Here is a 12030-nt window from a genome sequence, read left to right on the forward strand (position 1 = left end):
ACTCTTCAAAGATATCTCATTAAACTTGGAGTGAAATGCCATCTCCCTGCAGGCTCTGGGTAATGTGGCCCTACCCATCTTCCCAGCTCATCTCATACAGGTCGAGTATTCCTTATCCAAAATGACTGGGACCAGAAATGTTTTAGATTTGTGATTTTTTTTTTCAGATTTTGGAATATTTGCATATACACAATGAGGTATCTTGGGATGGGACCCAAGTCTAAACACAAAATTCATGCACGTTTCAAACATATACATGAATAGACCCTTATATATATAGCCTGAGATTAATGTTATACATTATTCTTAATAATTTTGTGCCTAAAACAAGTTTGTGTTTTACACAAACATTGAGCCATCAGAAAGCAAAGGTATCACCACCACAGCCTGCCATGTGGACAGTTTGTGGTTGTTTGGCATCACCATCATTCCTAACCCTAAATTTATGTGCTGCCAATAAATGTTTTAACTGTGACCTGATACATGAGGTCAGACGTGGAATTTTCCACTGTAGTGTCATGTCAGCACCCAAAAAGTTTTGGATTTTGGAGCATTTCAGATTTTAGATTTTCAGATTAGGCTTGTATAATCTGTACTACCTCCCTGACTTACCACTCGTAGGTCCTCCCATGAGCCCATGTCCCTCCCCTCCTGAAGAACTTTATAAGGGATGCCCTCTCCCTGTCTCCTCCCTTCCACTTGCCTAATTAGCTCCTAGTTTGCTCTTTCAAACCTCAGCTCTGCCACCTTTTTTCAGGGGAGCCTTTCCCAGCATGGTTAGGATGCCCTATTCTATGCTCTCCTGCACTCCGTGGACTTCCTTGTAAACTTTAATCAAGGTTGTGTTAAATGATCAGCTGCAGGTTTGGTTATTTGATACTTTCTCCTACTATGCTGTAAACTTTGAGAATGGGTAGTGTGGCCCCATCTGGCTTGTTTATGACAGTGTCCTGGAACCTCCCTCAGGCCCCTAAGCAGACCCCCAACTATTTGTTGAAAATACACCAGTAAATATAATGGGAAGACAAATGGGGGAAGAGGCTGTTGTGGTTGAAATTAGGATGGAGCCTTTGGCTGAAGCAGGAATGTGGGGCCTGGGATACTTCCCACTAAGCCTGCCCCTTCCCCTCCACAGAGGTCCTGGAGGCACAGAGTGGAAAACACTCTGAAAAGCACTGTTGGAGATGATGGGATGATCTGACTAACAAAAGGCTTTGTTATTTGGCTTTGGGGTGAAGACTGTTATTCTCTTGGCCTGAGGAAACTTTCTTTTGCTTCATAGTCAAAAGAATGATCAAAGTAGCTTTGCGTAGACAGGAAGCATATTTCATTCATTTATTTCAACATCTTGTCTCTCTTGGGTAAGGAATGACTGTAAAAGACATCTGTAGGATGGTCAGAATTGTATTATTTTGTGCAAGACTAGATGTAGAGTAGATATTTCTTTGGAAAGTCATCCTGGCCTAGGCCCAGACCATCAGGAAGATTGCCTCTGTACTCTGTGGATCCATGCACACATGGCCCCATTCCTGGGTCTGGGATCATGTGACACATGCAGATCATGTGACTCTAATACTCCTTCAGTGTGGTCAGCTATAATACAGTCAAGGAATCCCTATATCTGTTAAACAGGGTGAATGGAAGTGAAAATTACCGTTTGACTGAGTAGCATTGCTGAAGAAAATCAGTAGAAGTGGTCCAAGATCCTTTCGCATTGTCTCAGTTCTAAATGTTGTAAACTTTCAAATTACTGAAACTCTGGGTTTCAGTATCCAACCCCTTCAAGGCCAGCTGAAAATCAACAACAGAGTGGGTTAAAATAAAAGAAGCATGTCTGTGCAATCCCAAATTAAAGCGAAAATATGTGCTGGCCAAAAGTAAGTCATTTTTCAGCCTCAAAATATTTTTTCCAAATTCTAAGATCCTGCATTTGACATGTTTAAGAGGGAGATATAACAGCTGAAGTTGTCTTTGTTCAGAATGTAGGAGACAGTTTTGTCTAGACTTTCAGGAAAGATATAGAATGACATTTTCAGAACAAATCAAAATATATTTTTAAATTCCTTTTTCCCCTTCACAAAGAGGATCTGACATGCTTCTGTGATTTGAATTTGGCTGATCTATAAATGGCCTCAATAGTTTAACATGAAAAGTAGAGTAAAATAAACCATTGAGAAAAGTTATTAAAATACTGTTAGTTCACTTTCTTACCTTCACAATAACCTTACCACCAAAAACAATTTAGTAACTAATATTGAGTGGAGTGGTTTCTAGGTATGTGTTAATCTCTTGACATACATTTTCTGACTTAGTTCTCACCACAACCCCATAAAGCAGGTATTGCTGTTATGTTAATTTTCTCATGAAGACAGAGAGAGTTGGGGTGACTCACTCAAAGCCACAAAGCCAAGCAGGGACTATGTCTGACTGATCTCCCAAACCTGCCTTCCTGCCCTCCTCACCACTGTGCTTGGGTCTTCTTTCTTCACAGGGCCAGCATCGTACAAAAACGCATTATTTATTTTCAAGATGAGGGCTCTCTGACCAAGAAACTTTGTGAACAAGGTAAGACCCTGTGGGTGGGGAGGGGGAGGGGCAGAGACATGGAAGGCAGCTCCTCCTGCACGATCCTCCTGCTGCAAGAATTAAGGCCCCTGGGCTTCGTGAGTTCCTCTGGGTTCTGCTTCCTCACGTAGCTCCGATTTTTAATCTGGCTGTGTGCTGTGGGTAATTGGATCCGCCTTAAGCTCTAATTACTCAGCTTGATTCCCTGGGTAGAAGATAATGTACCTTATATTGGTGTCGTCTTCTTATTTTTGTGAAACAGTGATTATTCTGAAGAGGTTCCTTGGAATAATTCACAGGACTTAATTAAGGAATGCACAATTGTGTACCTTTAAAAAGTCTGTAATGGTTCTTTGGAAAAAAATCACCAGCAAGATCTTGTGTGGCACCCAGACAATATGGGAGGATTTTCTCCAGAGAAGCCCAGCAGGGGATGGGGATGCCAAGGGGGTGTTGACCTTGTGATATCACCACATTCAAGGATCTAGTCCTTAGATTTGCAAACTTATCAACCTTCTCTCCTTAGGTTGAAGGTATTGTAACAAAGCTCATGGAGGCTAACTAGACTCGGGGGATAAAGCAGAGACCTGAGTTTAGATCAGGCCCAGGTTCGGATCTGCCTCTGCCCCTTCTAGCCATGTGACTTAAATAGATAAAATAGTACAGTACCTCCTTGACACATAGTAAATGCTGTCTATAGAATAGATAGCTCTTGTTATCTATATCTGAAAGCTTATTCATTAATCTACTGCAAAAAAAATTGACCTTAAACATCGGAATGTTTTTAAAAGTTATTGGATAACTAAATAAAAATAAAAAATGCTCTATATTTATACAGCATAACAATCTCATTTCTATTTAATTTTGCAGAATTTTTATTTGCATTTAGAGCAATTAGTGTTTGGAGAAGAAATAATCCTCTCCAACTATAGCAAAGTATAAGCTACTAAGAAAAAGAAAGGTTGATAAAGGTCTTCGGGGAAAACAATAATAATAGGTAATATGTTTGGGGTGCTTTGCTACGTGCCAATAACTATTTTAAGCACTTCATATGCATTAATTTTATAATCTGCACAGCAGCCCTATATGGTAAAGATTATTATTATATTTTTATTTTATGGATGAGGGGCCTGACACAAAAAATTTAAATAGCTTTCTTAGCATCATATACTCATGGTGGAAGGCTGGGTTTGAAGTCAGGAGCCAATGCCCTTAACCATTGCTTTCTAGCAAAGCAACTGCTTCCCAGTTCAGTAGTTCTTATCATTGCCTTTGACAGATCAATGCATTGTCCTCCTGTAGATGAGCTGAGCAGAAACTAGGTCCCCTGTTTGGAATTGTTTAGAGAACATGGCAATAGCAAAGGAGAGAGAGAGTTGGATACCTTGCATTAGGATCATACCTCCCAGAGGGGCTGGAGAGCTGGAATCTGCAGTCCAGAGAACCCTGGCCAGCTTCCACATGGACACCACCACACGTGTCTTCTGAGGCTTTTCTTTTTTGTGTTCAACTGCCTGCAAGTTCACTCAGCCTTTCTCTACACAGGGAGCATCTCCACTTATTAAGCTCTTGGTTCCTCAATGACAATCCCATCCCTGCTGTATCTTCATGTGATGAGATCCAGGTGCTGTGGTGGACTTGTGGGTGTTTTGGATCACACATTTCCAAGACACCTCTTGTAAATGCCTTAGACAAGTCTTCACATAACATCAGGATTGAGACTTTGGGAAGTGCACATTAGTTAATGATTGATGGCAGTACATGAGGGTGTCAGTGAAGTATCTCCTAAGAACCCTCAGCTCCTGAAAATAAGGCTGTCCTCCGACAGTCAAACTGACAAAACCACACCACAGTGCCTGGGGAGAAGACCTAGAGCTGCACAGATGAAAAGCAAAGGCAAACAATAGTTTTAAAAAGCAAGATAAACAATAGGTTACTTCCAATTAAGAACAGAGAAACAAAATATTCAAAAAAGTGACCTATAACAAACATATGCATACACATACTTTATTTTTTTTTTTTTAGTTTTTTTGAGACAGAGTTTCACTCTGTCACCCAGGCTGGAATGCAGTGGCACGATCTCGGCTCACTGCAACCTCCAACCCCCGGGTTCAGGCGATTCTCCTGCCTCAGCCTCCCGAGTAGTTGGGATTACAGGAACACACCACCATGCCCATTTTTGTATTTTTAGTAGAGATGGGGTTTCATCTCTACTAAATATGAAAAGATCTCTGTCTCACAAGTAAGATCTAAATAGAGATTTGCCATGTTGGCCAGGCTGGTCTCGAACTCCTGACCTCAAGTGATCCGCTCATCTCTGCCTCCTAAAGTGCTGGAATTACAGGCATGAGCTACCGTGCCCGGCCCTGCATACACATACTTTAATACCATGTCACAAGCAATTAAATGAAAGAGACAAAAAAAAAAGGAAAAAGGAAGGGAAACGCAGAAAAAAGAGAAAAATGTCAACAGAAACAGGATAATGAGAAAAGGAAGAAAAAGGGAAGAGGAACAAAGAATACAGGAAGAGAGTTGCAAAGGAAGTCAGTGGATTTCAAGTAGAAATGGGGAGAGAGGGCGGCTCTGGAGATGCTCCATAGCCTGAAATTACCCATGGTTGGCAGACCCTGCCTGCTGTGGTTAGAAGAGGAGTAAGTGGACGATTCTTATCACTGCCCTTTGAAAGCCTGATTCATTTTCAATAGGCTTTTCCTTAGTAGGAAAACAGTATGTCTGTTTTTATTTTCAAACTGAAAAATTTATTTTTCAAATGGGAGCTTAAAAATGTATTTTTCAAATGGAAGCTTATTTTCCTTTGAAAATCCAAAAGGTTTATTATGCATTCCTTTGAACCCTCAGAAATATCGTTAAGTTTACCACCTATATCCGAAAGCCCTTTTGATAAGGCAAAGCTACCAGTTGGCCTTCTTTTGGTTTTTGTAGAGACTATTGCTGCCTCATTTAATAGCCCCTAGTAGCTACAATTGAAACCTCAGCATGTATCTCTGATTTAGAAATCGTAGAGCTATGTAGGGAGGCAATTTTTTTTTTAGCGCATCTTTCTTCATTGAAAAAAGCAATACAGAAACAATAAAAAAGTTTTCTCTCTTTCCTATCTATGCAGACCTATCCAGATGAGGTCTTTCCTGGAGTAATGTAGTGCAGAGATTAAGGGTATGAGTCCTGGACCCAAAAAGACCTGGCCTCCAGTTCTGCCTGCCCTGTTCACTAACCCTGTGACCTTGAACAGGTTACCTAATCTGCTTCAATTTACTGACCTGTAAAATGGGGATAGCAAAAGTACTTACCTCCTAGCATTGTTAGGATTAAACGAGACAATATATGGAAAGAAATCAGCAAATAAAAGGACTCAGTATTTTGTAGTTATTATTATGATGTCTCATCCTTTCATCTCCACCCTAGAACCTAGAATTCACTTCTATCCATCATGGATTTTATATATTTAAACCAAATCAACCCAGTAAATTCCAAAAGGAAGTCTTGTAAAATGCTCTTCCTAACACTCACAATGATTTTAACATTCTTTGCCACTACTCTTTGTATAATATTTAAGAATAAATGTCCAACTGCAAAGAAAAAAAAATTATGTTAATACTACTAGAGGAAGTGAAAAAAAGCAACTGAAGCAAGTTACATCTGTAGTCATTGTTTTCATCTTGCAGGAAGCAGAACAGACTAAAAGCAACAACGTGCAGCTAGAGATGTGGGTTTGACAATCGGAAATACTGAATTTATTCATGTAATCTCTCTTTCCCCACTTATCAGCTATTCACAGCTAAAAATGAGGGCCGAGAGGGAATCTTAAGTTTTTCCTGGCTACTTCTATACCCAGAAGTACAGTAAACCTGAGCTTATGAACACATTTCCACCCCCTACTCCTCCCAGTGAAGTCTCTGAAAGCATGATAAGAAGTGACGTGATTATATATGCATGCCTCTTTTTTTTCTCCCTTCAGTAATTCTTTATCTCTCTCCATTTATTTTCACTGCTCTGCTTCAAAGTCATTCCTTCTGGTCCTGTCATTTTGGTCCCAGAGAATATTTCCTAGAGAAAGCACACATGTGTATTCCTCCTAAAATTTGTTAGAGAAATCCTGTTGTGGGAGGGGTGGGGAAGGAGACCAGGATCCGGAAAGGATGATTGAGTGAATTTTACCCCTGATTTTTCAACATAGCCCCCATCTTAAATATTCTCGAATAGCCTATGGGTTATTGCTCCCACAGATCTTCTCAATTTATTAGGGAAAAAGCTCTCTTTTTTTTTTTCAAAATATTACCATACTTAGAGGCATACAAAATCCTTTATTGCCCAAGTACTGATCTGGCTCTAAGTCTTATTAACTAATGAAAGCTGCATCTTCTTTTCCTAAGGGTTAAGGATAAAATGAGACCATGATAGCACCACCTTATATACAACCCACGTTTACTTTCTAACTTGGTGACTTTTCTGACTGTTTCAGATTCCACATTTGATGGGGTGACTGACAAACCCATCTTAGACTGCTGTGCCTGCGGAACTGCCAAGTACAGACTCACATTTTATGGGAATTGGTCCGAGAAGACACACCCAAAGGATTACCCTCGTGAGTAGAGTGGCTACTCTGTGGTTTGGGGAAAAGCACATTGTCAAAGTTCTGTCTGGTTATAGGGCACACTAGCTGCAGCATGTCAGATCTGCTCCCTAGTATTGGCTGGTTCATGAAATGCACAATCCAAGTATGTATATTAATCAAGACAGGCAGACATTATATGGGTATGCTTTCAGCTTCTTTGCATAGCATTGTGCTATTTTTTTTCTTTTTTTTTTTGAGATGGAGTCTCGCTCTGTTGCCGAGGCTGGAGTGCAGTGGCACAATCTCGGCTCACTGCAACCTCCGCCTCCCGGGTTCAAGCAGTTCTCCTGCCTCAGCCTCCTGAGTAGCTGGGATTACAGGTATGGGCCACCATGCCCAGCTAATTTTTGTATTTTTAGTAGAGATGGGGTTTTGCCATGTTGCCTGGGCTGGTCTTGAACACCTGACCTCAGGTGCTCCACCCACCTTGGCCTCCCGAAGTGCTGGGATTACAGGTGTGAGCCACTGTGCCCAGCCCCAGCATTGTGCTTTCTTATCTGTGATTTTTAAAAATATTCCCAAAGTCATGCTGCTTATATTCAGGTGAGGCATTTGGTAACCTCAATCCCCCTGCAATGACCCTGTCCATGAATTCCATGACAGACCTGCTGGAAATAGCGGCAAAAGGGACCTGCTCTTGACTCTATAGGTCAAGGTCAACAAATACTCTGCTATCATAGGTGTTAGTAATTAGTCAGCATGCCTTTTTTTTACTGACTTCAGATGCCACCTTGAAATCCCTTCATGAGGGGCCAAGCATGGTGGCTCAAGCCTGTACTCCCAGTGCTTTGGGAGGCTGATGTGGGAGGATCCTTTGAGGCCAGGAGTTAGAGACCTGCCTAGGCAACATAGCAAAATTCTAAAATTAGCTGGGCATGGTGGCACATGCCTGTAGTCCTGTAGTCTTGCCTGTAGTCCTAGCTACTCAAGAGGCTAAGGCAGGAGGATCTTAAGCCCAGGAGTTCAAGGCTGCAGTGAGCCATGACCACACCACTACACTCCAGCCTGGGCAGCAGAGCAAGACTCTGACTCAAAAAAAAAAAAAATCTTTTCATAACATTGTTATCAAGATAGCCAATACAAAGCCATGAGAGTTGTCAGGAGACCCCAAACTTACTATTTTTTAAGTAGATCCTACTAATTCCACTTTATCATATAATTGTCTCAACAAACGCCTAACATGTGCCAGGCACTGTGCTCAGCTCTAGAGTTATAATACTGAACAAAAAAAAGATGCATCCCATATTCTCAAGCCACTCAGCGGCTAGTGGAGAGACAGACACTAACCAAATAGTCATGCAGAAAGAGGTGAAGACTATAAGAAAAGTGGACTTACTGTGAACCAAGCATTTCTACATATGTTATAGTGTTTAATCCTCAAAGTAATGTGTTTTTGTGGATAAGTTTACTGGGGAGGAGAGAGATGTCATGATTTGCCCACATTGAGATGTAAGTAATGGATCCAAGATCCAAAGGGGTTTTTCAGTCTCCTATGCCTGCCTTTTGTTTGGGTTGCGTGTTGCCCATTCTCTCTGTGGGTGGCAGGATGTCCATGTGTGGCACTGAGCCTGTTTTTTTCTGTTCATTGTCTGTTTTGTTCTTGTGCATTTTACTTTGGAGTTACCGCAGTTCAGGAAGAACAGTAGGAATGGGAGAGAGAGATTAAAAAGAGGGATTTGGCTCAGGTCCCAAAGGAAAGGGGGAGAAAAGGGCACATGATTGGACTTAAGAAGACTCAGACCAGATCAGAACCTCCATGATCCCCACGCAGCCCACCCAGAGGGGACTTCGACATTTGTTGACAAATCAAGAGCTCTATTGTTTAATGTTACCCACATGCAATCAAGGCTTGGGATCTTAGAAGCCTCTTTCTAGTTCATTCTTCTGACTCTGAGATTCAGCCTGATCTGCATCAGCTGTGTGGGAGACCTGTGCGAAGAAACTTGGACTCTCTGCCTGGGGGAAAGAAAACATTTGGAACAAGCACGATGGAAAAATTTCCTCCAGCCTCTCCTATCCACTAACCAGAGGAAATAAAATGTTAGGGGCCCGTTACTCATCTTTTGTGATCCTAAGAAGCTTCTTGACCTTTCCTATTCTGCCACTGTCATTTCCCAGAATTTAGGGAGGAGGTGAAAAAAAAAAATTGTTTCTGGGTCTTTGGGCCAAATCAAGTACAAATCTATACAGAGTTTCTGTGGAGTTGTTGAGAGTTTCTTAGTAAATATAGCAGACGTGTGTTCCAGATCTTCTAGGATTGTTCCATTTTTGACATGATGTCTTATAGACAATTGTCAGATTGTGTCCTAATTTTTGGTTGGAAAAATTTGGTCACTTGTACAGAATAGCACTTAACATAGCATACTGTAGTTATTTTTTTAAAAGTCTTTCTTTCCCACTAGACCAAGAAGTCCTCCAGGACAAACGTGATGACGTGCTTATCTTTGATTCTTAGTGCCTGTTGTCTTCCCAAGCACTGTGTACTGATTGTTGAACTCCGAGTCACACTCATTATGACCTGGGAGGCAGATGTCTAGCCTTCAGCTAATTATGATGGGCAGTATGGAGGAGAGTGTGAGTCAAACCTTCCATGGAGGAAAAGGAGTGAACACTCAGGGAGACTGGAGCCGTTTAAAAGGACATGGGGAGGATCTAATCGGGATCTTGAAAATTTAATGTTCTCAAAAGTTATTTCTATCAGTCTTAAGTAATAGATGAATTTCTTTTTGCCACTGCAAAGATGATACTGTCTTGATAACCATTCTCTATCATCATGCCCAGAGAAGCTTCCCACAATAGTGCAAACTGACAATTGCCAAGCCCCCCTGTCCTTTATTAGTCATCCAAAACACTGCTTTCTCTACAGTGATCTTAGGACAGTGGTTCTTAAGCTTTTAAATCTTAGGACCGCTTTTGTATGCTTAAAAAATCTTTGAGGATCCCAACATAAGTGGTTTATATGGGTTATAGCCATCAATCTTCCATGTATCAAAAACTAAAACAGAGAAATTGAAAAATATTATTTATTTTTAAAATAAACCTAGTAAATTAAAAATAATAAACTTGTTCCAGGTTAATATAAAGAACATATTTTATGAAAATACCTATATTCAAAACAAAAGAAATGTGAAAAGAGGATCAATGTTTTACGTTTTTGCAACTGTCTTTTCTATCTGGCTTAATAGAATACACCTGGATTCCCATTTGCCTTTGCTTTTGCATTCAACTTAGATTCAAAATAGATTCAAATAGGTTCAAAAAATCTATTTTTTGGTTGAAGTATGCGGAGAAAATTCTGTCTCATATGGCTATGTAATTGGAAAAGGGAAGAGTATTTTAATAACCTTTTCTGATAATTATGGATAATCTTTGATCCTACACCAGAACTCTGCAAATTGTTTTTTTAAAGGTTAATTACAATGTGGAATTTGAAACTATATCAATGAACTTGTACTCTTACATTAAAAGTCATTGCTTTACCTTCTACTTTGAATGGATCTTTTACAAATGCATGGTTTTGTAACATCTTACGTTGATCATTTGGAAAATATTGGTTTACTGAGTTATGCAGATTGTGCAAGTGTTGACACAGTTCATTAAACAATATGAAAAGCCATATCCATTAATATCACTACCAATCTCATCAGAAAAGTATTTAATATTGGAAAGCTATCAAGTTCATAATAATGAACACAAGTTTTCTAAAATTCTGGGTTTTGCTTGAAAGCTTGAATTTTATCATTGGCAACAAATACTGTCAGTTGTTTTCCTTGAAGTGACAGGATCACTTTATTTTTTAGAAAATGTAGGCCAAATTCCCAAGTCTGAATAACCATAATTTGTCTGTCATTTGTCCTTTCAAGTGAAAATGATGTTTTATGAACATAAAAAGCGGCTAGTCCAGCTTGCACCTCAAAGAGTCGCATAAGTGCTTTTATTCAAGACAATCACAGTACTTCAGTATATAGCAGAAGTGCTTCTGCGTAGTTCCCAATTAGTCACACAGAAAAAATAAAAATATGTTTACTCAAAGGCAGAGATCTAATGAAATTAATCATTTTTATTGTTTTTTCAAGGACATTCTTTTTTTTTTTAACTTTAAGTTCTGGGATATGTGTGCAGAATGTGCAGGTTTGTTACGTAGGTATACATGTGCCATGGTGGTTTTGCCGCACCTATCAACCCATTATCTAGGTTTTACGTCCCACATGCATTAGGTTATTTGTCCTAATGCTCTCCCTCCCCTTGCCCTGCACTCCCCGACAGGACCAGGTGTGTGATGTTCCCCTCCCTGTGTCCATGTGTTCTCATTGTTCAACTCCCACTTACGAGTGAGAACATGCTGTGTTTGGTTTTCTGTTCCTGTGTTAGTTTGTTGAGGATGATGGTTTCCAGCTTCATCCATGTCCCTGCAAAGGACATGAACTCATTCTTTTTTATGGCTGCATAGTATTCCATGGTGTATATGTGATGCATTTTCTTTATCCAGTCTATCACTGATGGGCATTTGGGTTGGTTCCAAGTCTTTGCTGTTGTAAACAGTGCTGCAATAAGCATAAATATGCATGTGTCTTTATAGTAGCATGATTTATAATCCTTTGGGTATATACCCAGTAATAGGATCACTAGGTCGAATGGCATTTCTGGTTCTAGATCCTTGAGGAATTGCCACACTGTGTTCCACAATGGTTGAACTAATTTACACTCCCACCAACAGTGTGAAAGCATTCCTATTTCTCCACATCCTCTCCAGCACCTGTTGTTTCTTGACTTTTTAATGATCACTATTCTAACTGGCATGAGATGGTATCTCATTGTGGTTTTGATTTGCA

General features: G+C 40.2%; 1 protein-coding gene across 1 annotated transcript in view; it reads left to right on the plus strand.

Moving 5' to 3' along the window:
* Positions 1–12030, plus strand: part of SPON1 (spondin 1) — a 305411-nt gene that overhangs the window by 110131 nt on the left and 183250 nt on the right. The window contains exons 4-5 of the mRNA NM_006108.4: positions 2492–2565; positions 7046–7168. Of these exons, the coding sequence (NP_006099.2) occupies positions 2492–2565; positions 7046–7168 (197 nt within the window). The remainder of the gene's footprint in view (positions 1–2491; positions 2566–7045; positions 7169–12030) is intronic.

This window comes from Homo sapiens, chromosome 11 (genome assembly GCF_000001405.40).
Source record: "Homo sapiens chromosome 11, GRCh38.p14 Primary Assembly".
NCBI classification, from domain to species: Eukaryota; Metazoa; Chordata; class Mammalia; order Primates; family Hominidae; genus Homo; species Homo sapiens.